At 37.2% G+C, this 27,762-nt stretch overlaps 1 protein-coding gene and 1 non-coding gene across 8 annotated transcripts in view; both read left to right on the top strand.

Annotated features, from left to right (window-relative positions):
* Positions 1–27,762, top strand: part of NETO2 (neuropilin and tolloid like 2) — a 66,243-nt gene that overhangs the window by 4,944 nt on the left and 33,537 nt on the right. For 3 of the 7 annotated variants that reach the window (XM_006721291.2, NM_001201477.2, XM_047434728.1), the window contains exons 2-6: positions 6,977–7,033; positions 9,638–9,778; positions 10,429–10,677; positions 16,090–16,113; positions 16,218–16,345. In XM_006721291.2, the coding sequence (XP_006721354.1) occupies positions 6,977–7,033; positions 9,638–9,778; positions 10,429–10,677; positions 16,090–16,113; positions 16,218–16,345 (599 nt within the window). Of the gene's footprint in view, positions 1–4,766; positions 4,933–6,976; positions 7,034–9,637; positions 9,779–10,428; positions 10,678–16,089; positions 16,135–16,217; positions 16,346–27,762 lie in introns of those variants that run through there. The other 4 variants (XM_006721289.2, NM_018092.5, XM_006721292.2 and 1 more) reach the window with 2 other exon arrangements.
* Positions 17,981–18,083, top strand: LOC124903806 (small nucleolar RNA U13). Its single transcript, XR_007065250.1, has one exon. It is a non-coding gene; the product is annotated as a small nucleolar RNA U13 (small nucleolar RNA).

The raw sequence follows: 27,762 nt of genomic DNA, 5'->3' as shown, positions 1-27,762 counted from the left end.
TAGAAATTGGGAAAGCCTCACAAGACCTGAACAACAGGAAGGAATCAGCCAAAGAGATTCTAGGCCGAAGGCACAGCTGGTTCCTGAGGCAAGAATTAGCTTGATGTGTTTTGAGTGATGGGAAGGCGGCCTGTGTTCTAGTAGAGAGCGCTCGGAAGGCCAGAGAGACACGCAGGCTCCAGGTCACATAGTACCTCCGAAGTCAGAGTAAGGGGCACAGAGTTGTTCTAACTATAATGGGACTCTACTGGAAGATTTTAAGCAAGGCTGTGATGTGATCTGATTTGTATTTTGAAAAGGTCACTGGCTGCTGTGTACATAATACACTATAGGGACTGTGGCAGAAACTTCCAGTTGTCTAGAAATGTCCATTTAACTATTTGTCAGTAATTCTCTGAATTTAACTGAGCGCACAGTTCCCCAAAATGAAGACTATTTACCAGTTTCCTGTTGGTTTAGGTGACCATGTGACTAAGTCTAGCCAGTTAGATATAAGTAGAAAATGATGTGTGCAACTTAGGGGAATTGTTGTTTTTGTTGTTTAAACTTTTATTTTGAAATCATTGTAGATTATGGGCAAGTGTTTTTGTTTTGTTTTGTTTGAGATGGAGTCTTGCTCTGTCACCCAGGCTGGAGTGCAGTGGCACGATCTTGGCGCACCACAACCTCTGCCTCCCAGGTTCAAGCGATTCTCCTGCCTCAGCCTCCCCAGTAGCTGGGACTACAGGCGTGTGCCACCATGCCCGGCTAATTTTTGTATTTTTATTAGAGACGGGGTTTCACCATATTGTTCAGGCTGGTCTTGAACTTCTGACCTCATGACCCGCCCACCTCAGCCTCGCAAAGTGCTGGGATTACAGGCGTGAGTCACCGCGCCTGGCCCTGGGCAAGTGTTTTTAAAGAAAGAGAGAATGCCCTTTATCAAGTCATCATTCTTGATAACTAGAATGCAGACATGGGAGCTATAATGAAGATAGAATAGCTGGCACTCCAGCCTCATACTGGACCATAGGGTGACCTTGGAAATGAGCCTCTCACAGCTGGGTAGTGAGACAGAAGGAACCCAGGTCCTGGTATTTATAGAGCCTTCACTCTGATGCTTGACTCCCTATGTCCAGCTTGTTCGCATGACAGAGCAATGTATTTCTATCTTGTTTTAAACTGTTAGTTTAGGTATTTCTGTTACTCATGCCAAACCTAATGCTAACATAGAAGTGTGCAAAATCAGTATAAGAACAAAAAAATTAAAAAACAGATGGAGAGCTGTTGAATGATCAGAAGTGAAAAGTCTGAATGCAGTCAAGTAAAATTAATCTGGAAAGGGTTCCTGGAGAAAGCAGGTTTTAGAAAATGTACTTTCATGGAAGCAAAGAGGTCCAAGGTCCCTGGCAAGTGCAGATGTTCAGAAACAAGAAGTATTTGTTGGAGCCCTTATAAGAATAGATAGTAGAGCCTTCACCTCAAGTTCAACGTTTCCAAAATCGACTCAACTCCTTTTCGCCCACCCCTGCCCTGCCCAATCCATATTGGTCCAAACATGTCTCCTGCCACTACCAAAGGAGGGAAAAGGCCACCTCTCACTGTTGCTTTCAGTAATCTGCCATGCTCCTGTTGCAGTGGTACTCACAGTGTGGTCCCAGCTCCAGCAGCTTCTGCATCCCTAGAGAATTTGTTAAAAGGCAGATTCTCAAGCCCTGCCTCAGACCCAGTGGATCAGAGTCTCTGAAAGTACTCCCATCTGTGAGTTAATAAACCCAAGGTGATTATGATGCACATTAAAGTTTGAGGACCACGGTCACAGTGATTCAGTTCCCACACCTGGAAGTAGAAATGCTGGTGGGATTTGCACATTTTTGAGCCTTAATATATTCTACCAGATTAACCTCCAAAAAGTTGTGCCAGTTTGTAATCCAGTGGCATTATATGAGTATGTCAGTTTCCTATAGCCTGACCAACACTAGAATCTGTACATGTATATATGTATGTATGTTTGTATGTTTGTAAGGCTGAATTTTTGGGTTTTGGCACATTTTTATGATGGTCTAATCTTTTTTCCCCCATTTATTATTAGTTTTTATTTATGTGTCTGTCGTTAGTAAATGAAGGTGCTCTTCACCTCAAAATATATACATAATTCACCTTTTTTTTCCCAATCTAGTATTTATTTTTTGTTTTTAGCTTGAAGGCGAGATCTATTTTTATTTCAAAGAATTAATATGTTATCCCAGAACCATTTATTAAATCCATCCTTTCACCAAGGATTTCAAATACCATGTATATCATAATAAATTCTTGGGGCTGGGTGTGGTGACTCATGCCTGTAATCTCAGCACTTTGGGAGGCTGAGGCGGGCAGATCATTTGAGGCCAGGAGTTTGAGACCAGCCTGGCCAACACAGTGAAACCCCGTCTCTACTAAAATAGAAAAAATGAGCTGGCCGTGGTGGCGCATGCCTGTAGTCCCAGCTACTCAGGAAACTGAGGTACGAGAATTGCTTGAACCCAGAAGCAGAGGTTAAGTGAGCCAAAATCACGCCACTGCACTCCAGCATAGGCGACAGAGTGAGACTGTCTCAATCAGTCAATAAATAAAAATTAATTCTTGGATATATATATCTATTTCTGAGCTTTTAATTTTTTTCCATTTTGTTATCTGTAAGGTGCTGGAGAATAAGGACCTTGTCTGTTTGGTTCATTGCCACCAGGAAGTGACTCACTACCTGTTAGACAATGGGTTCCTGCATGTATTTAACAGATCATCTGTTTCTTCCTATGTCATTGCTACATTTTTTAATTACTGTAGCTTTACAATAAATATATCATATATTGTTTTTATTTATTCTATGTGATTTCTAAATTTTCTTTGGCCAGTATAACAAAGTCTTCAAGATGAGCATCAGAAACGTTTTGTTAAGTCCAAAAACAGGACCCACTAAGAGTTTGATTAAAATATTAAATGTATGGCCTATTGGAAAGACTCATTATCTTTGCAGCATTATTTTACTGCTCAGAAACATGTTACTGCTCTGTTTTATTCAGTATATTTATTGTTTATTTATTTTAGTTTTACTTTCTTCCCTTAATAGGTGTAATAATTTTTCAAATAATTCTCTTGAGGTTTTTAGGTTTTCAATAACATTGAAATCTATAAATAATAATTTTGTCTTCTTTCCAGTATTTATTGCATTCACTAGAATTGCCACTATTAAGTAATAGTGAAAAGAATAAATTTGACCTTTTTTTTTTTATTTTTTACAGTGGAAAGTAGGCCTTAAAATTGGAAGGCCTAGGAACAGAATTGTCTGCTTAGAGCTAAAATGACAGTGATTCAGGGTAAAAAGAGGAGGAATAAAGGGAGTGGCTTTGAGGATTGTTTAACAGCCTGAATAGCACCTGTCTTTTATCATCTGAGTGACTTCATTTTAGGTCAGATCTGTACACAGGTCTGACTAAATAAGACTAAATTCAACTCTAGAACCAGGAGTAACATCATAAATGGTGGACATTACCTTTTTCAAGCATCAAATCACAAGCAGTTCTCTGTACAATCAAATTGCATGGTTAAAGAGTTTAGAATTATTTTTGTGTAGATTTCTGCCTTATAGAATTAGCGCCTTCCTATATACATTATCATTGAATTCAAAGTGTGAGGTCTTCCTGTATTTGAGATATAATTGATCCTTTTGGTAAGAGGAAACAGTGGCACCTAGATTGGGAATAAAGACAGAACAAAGAACCACAGAACTGCTTCATGTGCTAAATAATTGCAGGGTTTAGCATTAATGGAATTTGTTTTAATATCTCAGCCTGATTATAACTCAAGCAGTGTACAAAGACCTTGTTATACAACTCAGGAAACTGTGTTTATAATGATACAGAATTTAGAATGGATTAATAGTCACAACTGTATTACCAAAAACTGTATCAGTACATCTTTCTATCCCTAATTGCTGTGCAGATTCGCCCTATTCTTTATACGTCGTTTTTATATTTAGTGGCACAGCTCATTTGGTCGATTGAGTTGTGAATAGCTAGTAATTACTTGAGAAAAAAAGAAAACTGTGCAGCCCTCTAAATAAAGTTGAAAAGAATATAATAGGCTATTTGGCCTTGCAACTTTATTTTCAGTATGATTGTTCTGCCTTACTTGTGTATTCTGTGCAAATTTCATAAAGCAGTTATTTTATACAAGCACATTTTTATTGGTCATTGTATACCGTAATTGTGCTGGCACAGTTCATCCCTTTGCCATAGTTGCCGTTGCTGTCTTGCCTTCAGTTTATTGGCCTCTTACATGCCCTGTCTGCTGGCTTTGTGTGGTTATTTGCTTATAGATGGATTTGTAAATGTCAAACTGGTAAATAGTTACACCTGTGATTAAGGAGGAATGGTATACTGCGCACGAAATATTGACCAGTGGCATATGATCTGAATGATATGCCTGGGGAGATAGTGTCTACTAATGAGATAAATTGACACAAATGGTTGGGTTATTTGCTGAATTATCAAATACCTACTATTACCTGACTTTTCTTTTTGATCATAAATCTTCTGTATTAAAAAATGTTTCAAAACTCCATTCTTCTAATCAGATCCAGTGTAAAGATGTGAAGAGTTCAAGATCTCAGCATAACGTGAGATCTTCAACACTACCATCAACCAAAAAAAGGGAAGGGGGAAATTAACGTTATTGAGAAAAGACAGAGGAGACACAGAGGTCAGCAAGGATGCAAGAAACCAAGGATGAAGAGGTCAAAGAATTAGATTTTAAGATACGAACTGAATAACAAGAGCTACCTCTTAACCATTTCTACGTTGGTGACTTTGGTAGTAGACACCCAGTACGTGCTATTGAGTGAACAGTGGTAACTGTCTACCAACCACTTGCACTAGCAGACTCCAGTGCCTCCACCTCCCTCACCCCTCACGTCCTGTAAGTTGCACTTGACTCTACACCTGAACCATGTCATTAGTTTCTCCTCCTTTCCCTTTCCACTGCTACCACTCTGCTTCAAAGATGGTAATGCAAACATGATCACCTTTCCTTCCTAATCTTCTCTCTTCTCATTAAAAGTATAGACCCCACACAACCATTAGGATTATTGGTCTAAAACACAGAAGTGATAATGTCATACACTTGTTTAAAAACCTACAAGGGCTTCTCATTATAGTTAGAAGTCCACACTTTTTAGCATGCCATTCAAAACTTGTTACAATCAGATCTCACCCAACTTTTCTCTAACCTACTATACTGCTGTAGCCTTCCACTTGCCAACCACACTGTATTACTCAGAGTTCCCTAAAACCTGCTGTAGGTTAGAGCTCATGCCTCCATGTTTTTATTTTATTTTATTTTATTTTATTTTATTTTATTTTATTTTATTTTATTTTATTTTATGTTATGTCATTTTATGTTATGTTATTTTATGTTACTTTATGTTATTGAGGCATGGTCTCACTCTTTCGCCCAGGCAGTAGTGCAGTGGCACGATCATGGCTCACTGCAGCCTCTTAACTCCTGGGCACTAGTGATCCTCCTGCCTCAGCCTCCCAAGTGGCTAGGACTATAGGCACATGCCACCATGCCTGGCTAATTTTTTTTTTTTTTTCCGTAGAGACAGGGCCTCTGGAACTCCTGGGCTCAAGCAATCCTCTCGCCTCAGCCTCCCAAGGTGTTGGGATTTGCAGGCATGAGCCACCAGCGCCCTGCCCTCCATGTTCTTATTTAAGCTGTTTCTTTCTCCTTTTCCTGGGCTCAAGGACTGTAAGGTCCAACCAGAGTATGCCTTCTTTTTTGGGAGTTTTCCTCATTCTATTTCCCTTAACCCCCAGCAGAATGGACCTTCTGCTTCCATTATGCCTTCTGCATATCTCCTGTTAAACTCCGTTTCACCTTGTATTGTAGATTCAACAATACATTGATTCCTTGTGGATGCTGGTTTGTCCTAATATCCATCATTTATTTAGCAGAATGTCTGGCACATAAAAATACTATATACATTATCTCATTTAATCTTCACAACCACCAATGAGGTTGACCTATTTATACGTCATCTCCATTTTACAAATAAGTAAACTGAGCTGAAAAGGCCTCACAGCTGGTAGAAGGCAAAACTTGAACCCTAGCCTAGATTCATGAAACTCCTTAAGTCCATACTCTTAACCATTTTGCTCGATTTCTCTCTCCACACCTGTGCATCCTTGGTGCCCGCTCTTCAGTGGATACTCTGTAAGTGCCTATTCACTGAATGAATAACTCCAGTTCACGCAGTAGTTCGGGACAGGCTGGCAGTGTGGTTTCCTTTGAAAGGGAGAGTGCAGCATCCATGAAAATGTTTCTTTAAATCTTCAAACCACATACACAAAACAATTCAATATGTTGTTGATTGGGTCTCAGAAATGTTCAACATGGAAAAAAGCTTCAGTGTTAAATATGGCTAGCCTTTGTAGCACAGAGCACAGCATAGTACTGCACAATGATAAGACAGTTTGAATTGATTTCTAGGAGACTGCTGCCCCCTTACTTCTGTCTTGATTAAGAATGTTCTCAGAAAACAGATATAATCTAATTGAACTTTCACTGCCATAGCACACTGCAGAGCCAGCTATACTGCATGTAAACTTTGAGATGGACTACAGTAAATAGAGGAATAGTTAGGATGAGCAAGGTCTGTTGCAAAAAACAAGTGTTTTTTTTTTTTTAAACAAAACTATTAAGTTGAAAAATGCTTTCAATGCCATGTATTATTAAATGCTTATAAATGAGTACAAAACCACTTGTCTTTTCTTGGGTTATCTTAAGGGTTAGGTAGCAAATCAGAACATAACATTTAATGCTTAAAGATCTTGAGAGTGAATTTTGAGTAATAAATAGTGATTTTAGTTAATCTTTTTTTGTCATCCAATTTTATTTATTGACTTAGTAAAATGTAGTATAGATTCAATTTCATAACTTTTCTTCTCTGTTATTTCTCTAGTGTTGTTAATAACAGTACTGGTAGTGGAAGGGATTGCCGTGGCCCAAAAAACCCAAGGTAAAGTACTTACATTGGTGACTTACTGCATGTTTAAGACAATGGACTGGCTTATTTGAAAGGATTGCAACTTTTGGGTACTATTTTCATAATCCCTTTGGGGTGTTCCAGTGACCTAAGGCTTTCTGTCAACCCATCAGCCTCAATTTAACTGAGTTTAGCTGCAGTTAACTAAATTGTCAGCATAAAGTCTTGCCCTGATAAATTTTTAAAATTGACATCACTAGTAGCTCCTAGCATACTGTGGATTATGTCCAAAAATTAAAGGAGATTTATATTTTATCACTAAGCAAAAATAAAAGTCCCTTTTTCTAATTTAAACAAATGAAACACTTCAATTAATATCTTATTCAAAGTCCTTTGGTTCTGTTCTTTTGTCTTGATTTATGTTTGATGATTAGCTAGTGTGATTTTTTTTAGCCAGATTTTTATGTCTGAATTTAGTACATTTCCAGTGTAATGTTGTTTGTTTTTTATTTTCATCTAAGTAATACATACACATGATAAAAATCAAAGCATTCCTAAAAAGTTAATTAGGAAAAATGAGTTCCCCATCTTGCCCTACTTAACTTCCTGCTCCATGGAAATAATCACTCTTAGCTGATTCTTTTGGTATTTCCCTTCCTTTCTCTAAATAACATGCTGTATTGCTACTTCTTGGTTATTTCAGTTTTATAAATTAGATAATGATTTTTCACCGTGGAAGATGAGAATTTAGCTCTTTCACGCACCTACCGTCCACCCCATCCATATTTGAGTGTTCTCGTACCTTGCATTTGTAGCACCCTTCTCAACACAGTTCTGTCATAATTCTGGTTAACTCAGTATTCAGGATTTACATTAAGTCACTCATTCAGCTGAATTTTATCTTTAGGAAATCTTTTTTTTTTTTTTCTGTTTTAATTTTTAAAATTCCCTTTCCTCCATTTTCTCTCTTTTGCCTTTTCAGGAATTCTATTATTTTACTTGGTTATGGCCCTCTTGGTTTTTGTTTCTGGCTCTTCTGTTTTCCATCTTTTTGCTCCACATTCGCTGAGACTTCCTCAACTTTACCTCTAAACCAGGAGTTAGAACACTTTTTCTGTAAAGGGTCAGATCGTAAGTGTTTAAGGCGCTGTAGGTCCTACAGTCTCTGAAGCAACTCTTCAAATTCCTCAACTCTTCTGTCCTGGAACAAAAGCACACAAATGATGGGGATGGGTATATTCCAGTAAAACTTTATTTACAGCAGGCTCCAGGTCATGTTTGGCCCAGGGTCATAGTTTGCTGAACTCTGCTCTAAATGTTCTGCTGATTTTTTCATCTCTTCTGTTTTTGGAAGCTTTTTTGGTTCTGTTTTCTGAATATAATATTGTTTGTACAGTATCTTTGTTTTTGTCTTATAGATTTACTTGCTTTTCTTTCTCAGGATATTAAATGATTGTTTTGTGGTGGTGGTGGTTTTTAAATATTTTTCTTGCATAGTCTTTATCTCCTCAGAGTTGCTTTTCTCCAGTTTTATTATTATTATTATTTATTTATTTATTTATATTAGAGATTTTCCTCCAATGTCTGGTGATCCTTGAGGGCTCATATTTTAAGAGGGGCACTAAAAACTGATCGTTAACTGTCTGCAGGTGTGGGCAAGGATCAGTTACTGGCTCTCACTGTTGACAGATCTGACACTGGGGAACTCCTGCATCTGCATCAAGCCTTTCCTAGGGGCTGTTTCGACTCCCAGAGAAGAATCTTTTCTTTTCCTGCTTAAAGGCTCAATATCTGACCAGGAGGCCTTTGTGGGAGTTAAGCAGGAAACGAAGGCTGGGACATGTGCTAACATTCACTCGTCTCCCTGTTTTCGTTCTCAACTGTTCCTGGTGTCCCCTAGTCCAGTAACCCTGTTGTTTTACCTTCTCCAAAGAAATCACCTTTAGTGTTCTGATGTGGTTGTAGAGCTGCTAGATTTGTGGAGGAGGAAAGGGTACTGAAAATCCAACTCATTCTAAACAGACTTTTAACTAGCCTCGTGTTTTTAAAAAGCCCAATTTCACTCACCACCCCCAACCCCACTTCCTGGTACTGCCAGTTGTTACTGCTATATCTACCCCTCTCTGTTTAAGAGTTTATACCCTTTTAAAAATCCTTTTATTGCTGTTTAAGTGGAGTTTGAGGAAGGAGCTCAGCTACGTGCATGTATTTAGTCTACAGTCTTCAACTAAAATCCCTCTAACCTTTGAATCATCTTTTACTGTTGTGTTAAACTAAGTTTGAGGGCCCCATATCAGAGATCAGCTCCTGGGATGCCTTTATTTTTAGGTTAGAACTGAATTGTATTGCATCTTACTGACTTAGCAGATTCCCCCATATGGTTTTGCCCTTTGTTAAGTGCCTATAAGCCCTTTATTTCCCTGTTCTCTTACACGGCAAACTTGTCCTCTCCCAGCAAGTTTTCCCTCCCTCTCTTTCACTTCTGTACTCAATTTATTGTGCTAAATTTGACAGTGGTTCTTAGAAAATTTTATATATGTAGCATAGAGTGAGCAATCGTTTGGAAAGTGGTGGGGGAAAGAGAAGAATGATTCTCTTTTGCTGTAATGAGTGTTTTAAATGCCGTTTTTCCCTAAGATGGACAAAATATTGGAATCAAGCATATTCCTGCAACCCAGTGTGGCATTTGGGTTCGAACCAGCAATGGAGGTCATTTTGCTTCGCCAAATTATCCTGACTCATATCCACCAAACAAGGAGTGTATCTACATTTTGGAAGGTATTTGAACGATTTCTTTTATTGGATGAATTTTTACTTTATTGTAAAACTAAATATGTTGGTAAAATGACCTATGTAAACCAGTTTGAATGAAATTTAAACATGTATTTGAATTAAACTGTAGTAATGATAAGTATTTCTGCATATTGAATACATTAACAAGATACTAGCAGAAATGTTAGGGGAAGTTTGAATCTCCCAAAGTATAATTCAACTACGTACATTAGTATGTATGAAAAACTTCTTTCTCTGATAAGAAACTTAAACTTACTGGCATCCCTTATAAGGCTTAATTCAAATTTATGTCCACATAAGTGAGTTCTTTTCATTTCTTCTGTTTATTTTTCTGTGTATTGTGGTACGTTGTATCTTGAACTAAGTATTAGCTTCTTGACTCTTCAGTTTGAATCACTCAAAAATATTTAATTTAGTAGATAGCATATGCCAATGGAAAAGATTACTATAGTTCTACAGAGTAGCATTATTTTTAATGTAAGATACATTTATCATGACTTGTATAGCAATTCTCACTAAGACCTTTGTCTATGAAGCAGTTAGCAGAACAGTTATTCTGCTTTTCTCATTTGTGTCAATACATTTATATTCTTTCTTGTTTGTGTTGTCCTGATTTGCTTACTCTTATTTTCTAGCTGCTCCACGTCAAAGAATAGAGTTGACCTTTGATGAACATTATTATATAGAACCATCATTTGAGTGTCGGTTTGATCACTTGGAAGTTCGAGATGGGCCATTTGGTTTCTCTCCTCTTATAGATCGTTACTGTGGCGTGAAAAGCCCTCCATTAATTAGATCAACAGGGAGATTCATGTGGATTAAGTTTAGTTCTGATGAAGAGCTTGAAGGACTGGGATTTCGAGCAAAATATTCATTTATTCCAGGTAAAGAATAAGTTATCTTTTAAGTGGTTGGGCATCTCACTCTAACTCTGATTTTAGAATCTTAAGGTTAGAAAAGAGATTAATTTGGTCAAGTTAATCAAATCAAGATTTTAAACAAATTAGCAAAGTCAAAGGGAAATTAGTCCATGAACAAATAAGAAGTTAATAGAAATTGGACATAGAAACGTATCACTTGAATTTTGAAGCATATCAGAGATGGTGCCACATTTTCTTAGATTTTTTTCTGTCTTATAGCACATGCTCAGGCTAACATTTAAAATACATTTAAAAATAAATAATTTTAAAAATAATTCAACAAATTGTCTTGTTTTCAGAATTCCCACAAAAATTGTTTTGTATGATTTTTCTCATTTAGCTGTTAGAATTAACCACTCAACTGAATGAATACTCTAGAATATATTGAGCAATAGAAAGAATACTGCTCTGCACTTGGATGTCAAAGATCTGGGTTTGAATTCTTTCTCTGCCTCCTAATAGCTGTAAGACGATTAAGCACAGAATTATGTTTGAGATTGGCCATTAGTAAAATGGGAATGCCTGCTGTGTTAGTTTATTGATGCTGCCATAACTAATTACCTCAAATTTGGCCACTTCAGACAGCAGAAACTGATTTTCTTGCCGTTGGGGAGACCAGAAGTCCAAAATTGAGCAGGGCCTCACTCCCTCTAGGAACCTGGGGGAGAATCCGGTCTTTGCTCCTTCCAGCCTCCAGTGCATGCCCCAGCATTGCTGGGCTGTGGCTGCATCACCTCAGTCTCAGCCTCCCTCTTCACAGCTCTTTCTACTCTTTTCAAGATCCTTAACCTAATGGCATCTTTTGTCTTGTAATATTTACTCTTTTAAAAAACTATATGTGTGTGTGTGTGTGTATAGATACATATATAAGTGCACCCTACTACTCACAGGTTATGGGGAATCCAATGTGTGTATATTGGGGGGCTACTGTACCATCAGCCTGCTCCACCGTGTTACCTGCCCCACAGTAGGTGAGAACACTCTGAGAACTGTAAAGCCCTGTCCAGTATGGCGTGTACATATCCCTAATGCAGAAACAGATGTGCAAGTTATTGTTCCTGTCTTCACCAAGCTTACACACTAACAAGATGAAAAAATAACAGTAAGACAACTGCATGATCTTTTTGCTTTTATTTTTCGTGCAAGAAATTTAATTGGAAAAAATTAAAACATTGAAATGAAAAGAAAATATCCATAATCCTTCCACCCTGTATATAAAATCAGTGTGAACAATTTGGTGTATATCCCTTCCAGTGTTTTTCTATATCTGTTTCTTTTGTTTGTTACACAAGATTGGGATTATGGTACACATATAACTTTATTATCTGCTTTTTTGCCTGAAAAACAGATGTTTGCCTGTTAGTACTTATGTAGGAAATTTTAAGCTTGGCTTCAGTGTTTATCTGCTCTTTTTAAAAATTTTTTTCTATATTCTCCATAGCCAACCAAGTATTTATTTGCACAATACCAAAAGGATATTTCCAAAAAGTAAACATTGTCTAATAGACTTTATTTTTTAGAACAGTTTTAGGTTCACAGCAAAATTACACAGGAAGTAGAGTTACCATAAGCCTCCTGCCTCCCTTTCCATCAGCATCTTGCACGAGAGTGGTGCATTTGTTACTAATGATGAGCCAACATCCATGCATCATTATCACCCAAAGCCTGTAGTTGACATTAGGGTTCACTCGCAGTAGGGTGTGCTCTGTGAGTTTTGACAAATGCATGATGACATGTATCCGCCCTTACAGAACCATACAGAACAGTCCCACTGCTCTAACAGTGCCCCGTGCTCTGCCTGTTGGTCCCTCCCTTTCCCCAAACCACTGGCAATCGCTGATCTCTTCAGTATCTCCCTAGTCTTGCTATTTCCAGAATGTCATGTAACTGGAATTATACAGTATGGAGCCTTTTCCAGTTAGCAATATGCATATAAGTTTCCTCCATGTCTTTTTGTGGCTTAATAGCTCATTTTTTACACCAAATAATACTTCATTGTCTAGATGTACCATGGTTTGTGTATTCATTCTACTGAAGGACATCTTGATTGCTTCCACATTGTGGCAATTATGAATAAAGCTGCTATTCATGTGCAGGTTTTTGTGTGGACGTGAGTTAATTCATTTGAGTAAATTCTAATACATGCCACAACATGGATGAACCTTGAAACATTATGCTAAGTGAGATAAGCCAGACGCAAAAGCACAAATATGACTCCATTTATATAAGGTATTTAAAGTAGTAACATTCATAGAAACAGAAAGTGGAATGGTTATCAGGGTATGTGGGGGAAGGGGGAAGGGGAGTTAATGTTTAATGGGTGTAGACTTTCAGCTTGGGATGATTAAAAATTCTGAAAATAAAAAAATGGTGATGGTTGTACAACATTGTAAATGTGCTTAATGCCACTGAATTGTAAACTTAAAAATGGTGGAGCCAGGCGTGTGGTGCACACGTGTCATTCCAGCTACTCGGGAGGCTGAGGCTGGAGGATTGCATGAGCCCAGAAGTTCAAAGTTATAGTGAGCTATGATCACACCACTGCACTCCAGCCTGGATGACAGAGCAACACCCTGTCTTAAAAAAGATCAACATTATGAATTTTATGTTATGTATAATTTACCACAATTAAAAAATAGTAGCAGCCAGATGTGGTGGCTTACACCTGTAATCCCAGCACTTTGGGAGGCTGAGGTGGGTGGATCACATGAGGTCAGGAGTTTGAGATCAGCCTGGCCAACATGGCAAAACCCCGTCTCTACTAAAAATACGACAGTTAGCTGGGCGTGGTGGTGCACGTCTGTAATCCCACCCACTCAGGAGGCTGAGGCAGGAGAATCGCTTGAACCTGGGAGGTGGAGGTTGCAGAGAGCCAATATTACACCACTGTACTCCAGCCTGGGCAACAGAGCAAGAATCTGTCAGAAAAAAAAAAAAAACTAGTAGCTAGTAAGCTGTTTTTTCACAGTGGCAGGGAAAAGAAAGAAAGACAGGATATCCTGCCTTGTGAAATAGTCCACAGGAGTTTGAGAACCAATAGTTTATATCAAAATGACTGATTGGATTAAATTGGTCAGCTATTTTATTTTTATTAACTAAATCAACTAACTGAAGTAATTGAAACATTAGTGTCATGAAGATACTGTTAGAATAGATGGTGGCTGCACATAAGTTTAGACTACTTGACAGAAAAAGACATCCAAAGAATACTCTTATTTGAATAATGTTTTTAAATATTTAAAGACAAAGTCAGCCAACTTCATATGTAAAGATACTTACTTTGGAGTCAAGTAGCTCTTTTTCCTCTATTCATGTTATAGATCATGAGAGCAACTTTAAATGGCCTATAGTTAAAATATAGACAAAGTATAATAAAATGCTTAGGATTTCTAGAGTTTATCACCTTTCATTTGCATTTTATAGTGCTTCACAGTTTTGATAGACATTATGTTTAATTTTGTGCTAATGACTAATGTCAGGAGGATTATGTAATATTTTATTTTACAGATGAGGAAACTGAGTCAGATTAAGTGATTTTCTTGGTTCATAGAATGGCAAATCCAGGACTAGATTGCATTTCACTAGGCAATACTTCCTACTCTATCATGTTGCCTTTATAATGTGGATGAGGTCACATTGGAGAAAAGCCTTATTAAAATGTGGATGAGGAGTCCACAATTTTATCACTAAAAGAGAAAACCAACACATGTCAAAATAAATAGGCAATGCATAATTAGCTAAATATGTCTGTCTGATGTTATTTCAAGTCATGTTAATAAAATAAATTTTGTCTAGGAGGTGGTAAATCTGGAAGAAACCTATTAACAATGGTGAGAAGTTCATTTTTTTTAATGAAATTCTCTACTGAGGGAGAGGCTCTTAATGGGTTGTTAGTTCCTGGACATAACTGAGATAATTATGGACATTTTAATGCAATAATGACAATATCCTAGATTTCTGGAATACATATGAAATAGTTCTGATTAATCTGCCAGACAGTTCCTGTGATTCCCCTCCGCCATGCCGTTTAAGATTTAAATTTCACTTTGACATTTCTCTGCAAAAGAGCAGAAGTGTCTATTGTCCTCTTTCAGCAAGGATGAGTTTTGTTTATAAAGTTAAAAAAAAAAGTTGCTGAGATATATTCTACATAAGCTAATAATTTTTTTCCACTTTTTAAAATATGTAATTTGATAACTTCCTAAAGTATCTGGAATTAAAAACAACAGTTTTAACAGGAATTGAGTCTCTAGTTGTACACAATTAAATTGCGTATTGAAATAGATTTTCCAGTCCGGGTGCAGTGGCTCATGCCTGTAATTCCAGCACTTTGGAAGGCCGAGGCAGGCAGATCACAAGGTTGGGAGTTTGAGACCAGCCTGACCAACATAGTGAAATTCTGCCTCTACTAAAAATATAAAAAATTAGCTGAGCGTGGTGGCAGACACCTGTAATCCCAGCTACTCGGGAGGCTGAGGCAGGAGAATTGCTTGAACCCGGGAAGCAGAGGTTGCAGTGAGCCGAGATTGTGCCACTGTACTCCTGCCTGGGCAACAGTGTGAAACTCCATCTCAAAAATAAACAAAAATAAATAGATTTTCCAGAAATCTGAGACATTTTAGACAACCCAGCAATTTTTTTTATTCTGGCTGTTAGGTATATACACAGGTTCTATCTGAACTTTAAAATAATTTTTTAAAGATACCTGTGTTTATAATTTCTAAAACTTTATTTTTATTGTGGTAAAAAATATACATAACAAAATTTACCCTTTAACCTTTTTTTTTTTAAGACTCATTTTGTCACCTAGGCTGAAGGGCAATAGTGCTGTCTCTGCTGTCTGCAGCCTCAACCTCCTGGGCTCAAAAGATCCTCCCAGGTCAGCTTCCCAAGTAGCTGGCACTACAGGCATGAGCCACCATGCCTAGCTCTCTTTAACCATTTTTAAGTGTGTAATTCAGTGGCGTTAAGTACATTCACAGTATTATGCAACTATTACCACCATCCATTTAAGCCGAAGTTTAGAAGACAAATTGTAATATGATTCAGCAGAAAGGAACTTCATTCCTTTTTAAGGCCAAATAATATTCTGGTATATTGTATATGTGATGTTCCGTTTACCTGTTCAACTCTGACAGTTGATGTGAGTTTGCAAGTAGCATAAATAAATTATTCACTATGGAATCAAAAATATAAACGTGATTAAATAAATGTCAATCCTGTAAGCGAGCTCCTAAATGACCAATGATATGTAGTTTTCACCAATGAAAGCTTCTCTTACCTTGCTATGAAATGGAACGTTAGATGTAATGTAAGACATCGAGGATTAAAGTAACTATCTCAGTACCAATGACTTTCTTCTTTTTTCTGTTACAGATCCAGACTTTACTTACCTAGGAGGTATTTTAAATCCCATTCCAGGTTTAGTATATTACCACTTGTTCCTCTTGGCATTTTTGATTAGTCTTATGTTCCTTTGAACACCTTTCATGTATTCCTTCCAGATTGTCAGTTCGAGCTCTCGGGAGCTGATGGAATAGTGCGCTCTAGTCAGGTAGAACAAGAGGAGAAAACAAAACCAGGCCAAGCCGTTGATTGCATCTGGACCATTAAAGCCACTCCAAAAGCTAAGGTATTATTATGTATTGAGTCGCTTCAGAGAAGAACATCATGATAAGGCATGATTTGCAAAATGTGTAATTTTGGTTTGTGTAAATATTTATTGACTACATAAACTGATACTGCAACTTTTTAAAATGTATTTTATTTCACTTACTTTATTGGCATCTACTAAGATCCCAGCATTATTATAGTTAAATAAACTGAAATTTCTGAAATTCTTCAGGAATATTACATATATATTAAGATTCTCAATTATAAAAGATTAAGATTCTTAAGACCTGTCAGTTCCCAATTGGTGAGTGTGCATACTGATCAGTATGATTATAGATTCATTAACAGCTTTATGAGGAAGAAAATAGGCTACAAGAGGTGAAAATGTGTTCTCAAAAGTTACAGAGTTGGTCGTAGCAATCTAAAAGCGAAAACCCAAATGTGTCGAGTCTGTTCTTACCCTGCCATCCTCTGCTACTCATGGGGTGCTTTTATTGGAAAGAACTGCAGGGAAGGATGTTTTTAAATAACTCTGACAGATTGAGATTGGATACTTTTGCATTTAATGTATACTTCTAGGAATATCAACAGAGTTAAAATTATATTTAATGCGTATTATGTAAAAAGAGGGAAAAGAGGAGAGAGTGAGGGTGGGAAAACATACCTCTCAAGAATCATGAAAATCAGATTTAAAGATTGGGTAATATGATAGATAAGGTAACCTGAAAACCCATCTGCTAGAAGACACATGGAAACATTGGGTAAAATATGACAAATAATTATTTTAAAAGCATATGTGTAAGCTCCAGGAAGGAGAAAAAGAGGGTAATGCTTATGGATGAGAAATGAAGAGAGAGAACTGTAGATTAATAAACTGAAATTGATGTTACAGATGCCCCTGGCTGACTTTTATAACCTGTTACTGCACAGGGGTAGACATACTGGGAGCTTCCTTTTAATTCCCATACTGAGAAAAGAAGAGTCCTGGGGTTCACATGGCCTTTGTGAGACTCACATGAAGCTGGAGCCCTCAAAGGGAGGCAACTCACATGAAAGCATAGATTAGAAAAAATGTTTCACTACCACATGCTGATGACAAAGAAGCTTGTTTTTCTGGGTTTAGTCTCAGGGTGGGGTTGGAGGTGAGGCTGGGGTCCCCCCTAGCTTTATACTTAGAAACCCTGCCTTTATTAGGGTTTGAGAAATGAATTTACATTCCCTGCTCAACCCAGGAGTCATGAAGTCCAAAGACTGACAGAATGGTCCTGGGTGCATTAAACCTTTGAGTCACCTGGCAAAAATAAATCTAAAAGTCACCAAGAAAGCTGCAGGGTTGGCATGGATAAAACACTGCTGCAGGTCAGCTCACAGCCCGCAGATTCTAAAACCCCTATGCTCACAGCCCACCATGGGTACGAGTTCACCGACATAACACACAGGAAGGAGTTCCTTAGATCCCCAAGAATTTGAGTGTTTCACGTATCCTACAAGAAGGAAACAGAGATGAGAAAGAAAAATGACCACGTCCATTTTTAAAATAACCAAATAGGAGGTCTATAAGTTAAAAGTATGGCTATTAAAAGATGTGTCTGAGGAAATTACCCAGAGTGTATCGCTGGAAGAGGTGGCAGTTTATTGGGATTTTCCATAACTGATACTCTGTAGTGTGTAAGTCTGATGCCCGGATGTTGACGCACACATGTGACGTGCGCCTCCCTCCAGCCTTGTTACCATGTCGGCACATTGCCTATCTGACATGAAAAGGAAAAAAAAGAAAAAAAAAATTTCAAGAACTAATGAAAAGCATGACACAGGGTGACTCCCAAGCAGGAAAAAAAAATTTAAGTGACACTGACATTGTACCCCACAGACAAGGAGAAAAGTTATTAAACAATAGAGAAAATAGTCTACAAAAGGATGCTATTAAGATTGACACCAGAATTATCAATAGCAAAATAGAAGCCTGAAGACAATAGAATAATGTCTTCATAGTGTTAAGAGTGTTCATTGTCATTTAAGAATGAAGGCAGTGGCCAGGATGTGGGGATGATTAATGGGTACAAAAGTATAATTAGATAGAATTAATATCTGGTATTTGATAGCACAACACAGTGACTACAGTCAACAATTTATTGTACAGTTTAAAATAAGCATAATTGGGTTATTTGTAACACATGATAAATGCTTGAGATGATGGATCCCCCATTTATCCTAATGTAATTATTATGCACTGTATACCTATATCATGATAGCTCATGTACCCTATAAATACATATAGCTATTATATACCCATAAAAGTAAAAAATAAAAGAATGAGGACAAAATTAAGATGTTTCTCTGCAAAGTAATAAATGAATTAAATGCTACAGTTAAAATCCAAATATATCTTGTTTATGGGATAATTACAGGAAAATTTGAAAATACAAAACTAGGAAAGAAATAACAGACAAATGTCAAAAAAGAGCTGATGTAACTATTAAAACAAATCAAGAATGTCTCTATCTCACTAGATAAATCTCAGGTATTAATATAGCCTTAAAATGCACAAAACAGGTTGTTGATTGTCAAGGAAAATTGACAGATCCATAACATAGTTGGTAATTTTTTTTTACTTCTTAGTAATTAACAGTTCAAGCATACAAAAAGTTAATATGGCTCAAAAGATTTAAATTACACAGTATGTGCTTAATGGACACAGTATCTTGCTCCCAACATCCAGAAAATAGGCATTCTCTACTAGCATTCATAAAACATTCATCAAAACAGATACACGTGCTCAGCTAACAAAGGAAGTCTGAACATATATGCAGAGCATCATGTGACAGAAATGCAATTAAACCAGAAATCAGCAACCAAAGATTACTTTAAAACTCCATATGTTTGGAAATATAATAATATACTACTTAGTAATTTGTAAGTCACAGAAGAAATCAGTATGGAAATTTGAATACATTTAAAATGCATTAATGAAAATACTACATTTAAAAAAACTGCGGTACAGCTAAAACAGTACTTTGAGAAAAAAGACTGAAATTTAATAAGTTAAGACTCAAGAAGTTAAAAGAAAAACAAATCCAAAGAAAGGGCAATCATAAAACAGAAATTAAAAAAAAAAACGAAGATACAAAAAGAATAAATCAGTGAGGCCTGACATCGGCTCTTTGTAAAAGGTAACAACAGGCAGACTTATGCCAAGATTGATCTAGAAAAAAAAAGACATAAATAGGCCGGGTGCAGTGGTTCACGCCTGTAATCCCAGCACTTTGGGAGGCCGAGGCAGGCAGATCACGAGGTCAGGAAATCAAGACCATCCTGGCTAACATGGTGAAACCCCATCTCTACTAAAAGTACAAAAAATTAGCCGGGCGTGGTGGCGGGCGCCTGTAGTCCCAGCTACTCAGGAGGCTGAGGCAGGAGAATGGCGTGAACCCAGGAGGCGGAGCTTGCAGTGAGCTGAGATCACGCCACTGCACTCCAGCCTGGGCAACAGTGCAAGACTCCATCTCAAAAAAAAAAAAAGAAAAAGAAAAAAACATAAATAATATTAGAAATGGAAAAGTTATAAATCAACTACAGCAAGGATTTAAAACTATTATGAAACAAACCAAGTAGAAAGTAGATCTGCCAAACAAAAAAGGAAAGAAACTGTTTCTTTCATAAATAAATGACAATGGGGGAAAAAGAAAAAACAAGAACCTATAGATTAAAAGAGATATAAAAGTCAAGTGAACTTACTGATTGAAACAAACTATAAATGGAGGGAACTGATGACAGAAGTTTGAACACTGGTATTTAATATTAAGTTATTTATTTGTTTGGTTTGATAATAGGATAAAGGTTATTTTTTAAGTGGCTTTAGTGATACAGAAATGTTTACAGATGCAATGATTTAATGTCTGAGATTTGTCTCTAGTATGTAAGAGGTAGAAGTTAGGAGAGACAAATAAAATAAGATTGGCTAGGTTATAATTGTTGAAGTTGGAAGCTGGGTACACAGATATTTTTGTCTGTTTTTGCATATTTGAAATTTTAACAAATGTTTTAGACTATCATAAGAGAATATTATAAATAATGATTTGTCAGTAGATTTGTAAAGGGTATATATAAATGGTGATGTTTGGAGAGTATGGAGGGAATCCCGGCTTTTTTCTCTCTTAATCAGAACTCACAACAGGTTGGGAGACTAAAATTCTAAGGAAAACTTGTCTTTCTGGCCAGAGGAACTAGATAGAGGAGACCATGTTGTCATCTGGAGAATATGAAGAAGTCTTGGAGAGGAGAGAACTAGAGCAGGGAAGCACTAATGCAGGCTTTCTTTCTGAGGTGCCTGTGTGTGGAACAGATCCAGGGAAACGTGGCAGCAGTGTTGGGAACCATGTTACAGTATAAACCACCTCTGAGTCCCTGAGTGTGTCACACACTGGGCAAGCCTACCCAGCACAGCAAAGTCTTTGAACATTGGGACCACCACCCAAACAAAGAGAGACAGAATTTGCAGTGCGAACACAACTTAGTTGATTGTCTGCAGAACCAAAACAAATAACAAAAAACGACATTCTCCAGGGATTTTTTAACAGGATCCAAGTCACACAGCATAATATTTAAAATGTCCAAGATACAATGAAAAATCACATACAGAGAACTAGGAAAATCTGGTTAATTTTTAATGAAAGACAACCAATAGATCCCAACCCTAACCCAAATATTAAGAACTATCCAAAAATCTTTTTTTAATTTAAAAAAATGTTTTTAATAGAAATAGGATCTCACAATGTTGCCTAGGCTGTTCTCAAACTCCTGAGCTCAAGTGATCCTCCTGCCTCAGCCTTCCAAACTGCTAGGATTACAGGTATTAGCCACCCTGCCCAGCCAGAATTATCAAAAATTCTAAAGCAGTGATAGAACCATGCTTCATGAGATAGCAGTAAACACTCTCAAAGAGTAGGAAAATAGGACTCAGCAGAGAAATAAACTAATTTTTTAAGTGAAAAATTTAGAACTAAAAGAAAAATCTGAATTTTTAACAAATAATCACTGTATGAGCTCAATAGGAAAATGGAGAAAATAGAAAGTCACTGAACTTGAATCAGTAGAAATTATCCAATCAGAAGTACAGAGGGGAAAAGATTGAAAACAAAGTAATTGAAAACTGTCTATGGGACAGTTTCAAAGGGCCTAACGTTTGTGTTATTTAAGTCCTAGCGGGAGAAGAGATTGGCACAGAATAAATATTTGAAGAAAAAATTGCTAAAAAGTCCCAAACTTGAAGGACATATATCTGCAGATTTAAGGAGCTCAGTGAACACCAAATAGGATAAACAAAAACAAAAAGCAATACCTGCACACATCAAAATCAAATTACTTGAAATCAAAGATTGAGATCTTGAGGTCTACCAGAGAAAAATGATGCATCTTGTATAAGGGAGCAGTGATTTGAATGACTATTTTTTCTCTTTAGAAATGATGGAAGCCAAAGGTAGTGGATCAGAATCTTCACAAGCTGGGATAGGCAGTAAGGGGAACTGTGATGCAAGACTTCTTTCAAGAATGATAAAACTAAGAGAATTTATCACCTATGCACTTGCTATAAAGGAAGTTATTTAGATAAGATAAATGATACTAGAAAAAATCATGAAACTTCATGACTAAAGGGAAACGAATGGTAAATATCTGGGTAAATTTCAACCATTTTACCAGTATCAGGAATGAAAGAGAGAATTCTATCACTACCGACCCTACCAATATTAAAAGGAGTAAGAAAATACAGGGAACAGCTCTATGCCAGAAAATCAGATGACTTCGATGAAATGGGTAAATCTCTTAAAAGCTACACAGCTGCCCAAACATGTCCCAGTAGACATACACAACCCAAATCATCCTGTGCTTATTCAAAAAATGAATTCGTAAACACCTTCTAACAAAGAAAACTCTAGGCCTAGATGGGTTCGCTGGCAAATTGTACCAAACATTCAAGGAAGATATAATGCCAATTCTTTAGTATCATCCAGGAAATGAAAGAGCAGGGAACATTTCTAAACTTACTTTGTAAGATAAGCATTACCCTGATACCAACAGACAAAGAGACATTATAAGGAAACTATTGATCAGTATTCGTCAAGAAAATAGATGCAAAAATTTCAATAAAATATTAGCAAATCTAATTCAGCAATATAAAAAAATACATAATAGTAAAGCGTGGTTTATCTCAGGAATGCAAGTCTGGTTCAACATTTGAAAAATCAATGTAATTCACCATAAAGACTAAAGAAAACTATGATTGTCTCCATTTGTTAAAATTCATCACCCATTCATGATAAAAATCTCAGAAACATAGGAACAGATGAGACTTCCATAACCTGAAGAAGGGTATCTACAAAAACCTACCAGCTAAACCAGGCACAATGGCATGCATCCATAGTTCCAGCTGTTAAGGAGGCTGATACAAGAGGATTGAGAATCACTTGAGCTCAGGAGTTCAAGGCCAGCCTGGACATCATAGTAAGAGCCTGTCTCTTAGAAAAAAAAAAAAAAAACAGAAAACCCTACAGCTGACACCATACTTAGTGGTGAAAACCTGAATTCTTTCCCCTTCAAAATCTGTAGCAAGCTAAGTCCTATTCAATGTTATACTAGAAGTTGTAGCCAGTACAAAAAAGCATACAGATTGGAAAAAGAAGAAATCAATCTTTTTGAAGATATCGTTGTCTATATAAAAATTTCCATAGCATCTGAAAAGCTCCTGGAACAAATATATCAGGTTAACAAGGTTGCAGGATGGAAGACCAGTATACAAAAATCAATTGCAGGTCAGGCACTGTGGCTCCCGCCTGTAATCCCAACATTTTGGGAGACCAAGGCAGGTGGATTGCTTGAACTCAGGAGTTCAAGACCAGCCTGGGCAACCTGACGAAACCCAGCCCCTACAAAATATATATATATACATGTATATATATATATATATGTATATATATATATATAAAAATTAGCCGGGCATGGTGGCTGCAGCTGTAGTCCCAGCTACCCGGGAGGCTGAGGCAGGAGGATCACTTAAGCCAAGGAGGCGGAGGCTGCAGTGAGCCAAGAGCGCACCACTGCACTCCAGCCTGGACAACAAACTGAGACCCTGTCTCAAGAAAAAAAAAAATCAGTTGAATTTTTATATACTAGCAATGAAAACTGTAGTTCAAAATTAAGAAAACAGTACCATTTAAAATATTACTCCACCAAAAAAAACTGTGTAGTATCTGTTAACTGAAAACTTAAAAGACCATAATGAAAATATTCAGAGATGACCTAAGTAAATATACTGTGTCAATGTATTGATAGGCCCAGTAGTGCTAAAATGTCAGTTCTTATGAAAATGATCTACACAGATGAATACAATTTCAATCAAAATCACAGCTATATTTTTTGTAAAGATTGACAAACTGATTCTAGAATGTAATGGAAAAGCAAGGGATTACAGAAGCCAAAATTATTCTGAAAAAGAACAAACATGGAAGACTCATGACCTGATTTCAAGACTTAATGTGAAGCTTCAGTAACCAAGACTGTGGTACTGACAAAGGACAGACACACAGATCAATGGAACAAGATAGTCCAGAGATTAGATTTCTGCAAATATGATTTGTTAATTTTTTTGACATTCAAAGGAAATTGAGTGGAGAAAGGATAGTCTAACAGATGGTGCTGGAACAATTGAACCTCCATATTCAAAGAAAAAAAAAATGAACCCTCACCTGTTGAGTGTAGGTGTTGCCTCACCTACATCCAACACTGTATTTAAAAATTAACTCAAAATAAATCATGGACATAGATGTAAAATTATAAAACATTTAGAGGAGAATATATGAAAAGAATCTTACTGGGTTAGACAAAGAGTTCTTAGATGCAACACCGAAAGAGTATCCATAAAAGAAAAATTCAGGCTGGGCGCGGTGGCTCACATCTGTAATCCCAGCACTTTGGGAGGCTGAGGCGGGCGGATCTCGAGGTCGGGAAATCGAGGCCATCCTGGCTAACACGGTAAAACCCCGTCTCTACTAAAAATACAAAAAATTAGTTGGGCATGGTGGCGGGGGCCTGTAGTCCCAGCTACTCAGGAGGCTGAGGCAGGAGACTGGCATGAACCCGGGAGGCGGAGCTTGCAGTGAGCCGAGATCATGCCACTGCACTCCAGCCTGGGCAACAGAGCGAGACTCCATCTCAAAAAAAAAAAAAAAAAAAAAAAAAAAAAGAAATTTATAAATTGGACTAATGAAAAAGCTTTTCTCTGTGAAAGACACTGTTGAGTGAGAAAAAAAAAAAAAAGCCACTGACTGGGAGAAAAAAAATCACCTATGAAAAGATTTCTTTCATCCAGAACTCAAAACTCAACAATAAGAACAAAACCCAATTATGAAACAGATTTCAACAGATACTTCACCACAGAAGATTTAATCATTACAAAAATGCAAATTAAAACCACAATGAGATGGCACTATTCTCCATTAGAATAACTGTAATTTAGAAAAATCACTAAGTGCTGGGAACTATGTAGAGCAGCTGAAACTCTGATACAGTCCTGGTAGGAGTGCAAAATGATAGAGCCGCTCTGGGAAACAGGTTGGTGGTTTCCTATAAAGTAACTGTGTGACTCAGCCGTCTCTTCTGGATGGGTACCCGGGAGAAATGAAAGCTTATGTTTATGGAAAAAAACCTATAAGTAAATGTTCATAACAACTTTATCTGTAATAACCAAAAACTAGAAATGTTTCAAGTGTTCTTTAGCTTTTAAAAGAATAGGCCAGGTGCGATGGTTCACGCCTATAATCCCAGCACTTTGGGAGGCTGAGGTGGGGGGATCACTTGAGGTCAGGAGTTCAAGAGTAGCTTGACCAACATGGTGAAACCCTGTCTCTACTGAAAATACAAAAAATTAGCCGGGCCTGGTGGCAGGTGCCTGTAATCCCAGCTACTTGGGAGGCTGAGGCAGGAGAATTGCTTGAATCCTTGAGGCGGAGGTTGCAGTGAGCCAAGATTGCACTACTGCACTCCAGCCTGGGCGACAAGAGCAAAAACTCCATCTCAAAAAAAAAAAAAAAAAAAAAAGAATAAACTGTGGTACATCCATATAGTAACATCTATTCAACAATAAAAAGGGATAAACTACAGCTACATGCAGTAACCCCAAATGCATCATGCTAAATAAAATGAGCTAGACTCAAAGGATACATGCTGTGTGATTTCATTTATATGAAATTCTGGAAAAAGTGAACTGTAGGACAAAGAACAGATCATTGCTTACCAGGGATGAAGACTGGAGATGGATTTTGACTGCACAGTGACAGCACAAGAGAAGTTGAGTGGGTTGTGGAACTGTTCTTGAAGTGTCAGCAAGGACTGAGTAGTGGATTGAGTAGAGCAAGCAGACTCAAAGAATTTGCTTTAGAAGTATAAATTGTCTCGTTAGAATTCAACTGTAAAGAGAAAAATGTATATAAATTGGTACAACCACTTTGGAGAGCTATTTCGGATGTGCTCTGGTAAAGCTGAAAATGGTCACATGCTACTACACAAGTATACTTCTAGATGTATACCCAAATGAAATCGTCATACCTGTGCATAAAGAGAAGACAACAATGTTTACAGCAGTATTAGCTAATTATAAAAGTAGAAGCAAGCTAAATGCCCAATAGGAGAATGGATACATAGTGATTTATTTCTATAATTGGTATGAGGTTTTAAAATATATGGAACAATACAACATATTTTTATAGATATGTAAGTATGAAAATATTAAGTGTGCTTTAAGTGAAATTAAACAATATTTATTAGATCTCATTCTTCATTGAAATATTCCTTGAAAAGATAATTCCATATTCACAAATTTTTAGGAGCGTTACCTGGAATATTGACTATAGAAGAATGTTGTATTGCTTTTAATAAAAGTAAATCAGTTAAACTTAAAAAAATTATTACAGTTGACATGGGAATTGGATCAAATTTTAAAATTTGAATGTTTAAATGTGTAAATAGGCCAGGCGCAGTGGCTCACGCTTGTAAACCCAGCACTTTGGGAGTCTGAGGCAGGCGGATCACTTGAGGTCAAGAGTTCGAGACCAGCCTGGGCAACATAGTGAAACCCCATCTCTACTAAAAATACAAAAAATTAGCCAGGTGTGGTGGTGCACACCGGTAGTCCCAACTACTCAGGAGGCTGAGGCACAAGAATCTCTTGAATTGGGGGTGGAGGCTGCAGTGAGAGCCGCGATCACGCGACTGAACTCCAACCTAGGAGACAGAGTGAGATTCTGTCTAAAAAAAGAAAACAAACAAACAAAAAAGTGTAAATAGATGGTTTTATTTAAGAAATCTAAATTAAATGTTAAAAGTCACCATTACCCTTGAATACTAAATGTGAGAAACTAGTTCATGGGTGATGTTTAAGAAAAATATCCATTTATAAATATAAAAAGAAGCCAGTCACGGTGGCCCATGCCTGCAGTCCCAGCACTTTGGGAGGCTGAGGCGGAAGGATCACTTGAGCCTGGCAGTTCAAGACCAGCCTAGACAACATGGCAAGACCCTGTCTCTATTTTTAAAATTAAAAATATATTTTAAAAATAAATATACAAAAGAAGGCATCGATGTTTAAGAGTATACAAATAGTGTTTTAGTCCACTTTTATCAGTGGCCTTTTCATGATAGTAGCTTTCTGGGGATTTCATTTCTGTTGGGGTCTTCAGGGGCTCCAATAAATAGCATCCCTTTTCCCTGGTGGAGTGCTGAACCAATTGAGAAATAAAAGTGTCAGTGTGTAGGGAGTTGGAAAAGCCTCTTTACCACAGTGAAGGCTAGGATAGAGAGAGCAACGCAGAGAGATGATCTAATTAGTGTTGGCAACTCCTTGCCCACCAGTTCTACGTCTCACCTAAGTCTAGAACAGCCCATTCCACTCCAGGGAAAGTTCGCATCTGCAGAGCAGACCGGCCTACCCAGTCCCACTTCCTATGAGGGGAGGGAAAAAGAAACCAAACTCCCACCATCCAGGTAACTTGCCCTGCCTCCCTGGGTAGGATATAGGGATAGGGTAAGAGGTCACTTACTTGATGAAAGTTGTAAGTAAAAGATCCCTTCTCATGCAATCTGGAGTAAAAGAAAAGTAGTTTATGCCCTTCTCCCAACATTGCAATTTGTCAGATTCACGTTATGAATATTTCCCAAAAATTTGTTGAACTAAACAATTCAATATTTAGCTGTATTTACAGTAGAAAAGTGCTGTGATCTTGTTATTATTTATCTTTAACTCGATGTTTTTTTAAAAATATGTCTTTGAAGAGCATTTACTATAGCCTTATATAATACCATATTTATTTGGATTAAAAGAAAAGCAGAGAGTAAATATAAATACTTCAGACAGCTTGATTATTCTACTGATACTTCTACCAAGTCATA

This window comes from Homo sapiens, chromosome 16 (genome assembly GCF_000001405.40).
Source record: "Homo sapiens chromosome 16, GRCh38.p14 Primary Assembly".
NCBI lineage: Eukaryota > Metazoa > Chordata > Mammalia > Primates > Hominidae > Homo > Homo sapiens.
The sequence above is the reverse complement of the archived record's forward strand: the minus strand, read 5'-3'. Positions and strand labels throughout refer to the sequence as shown.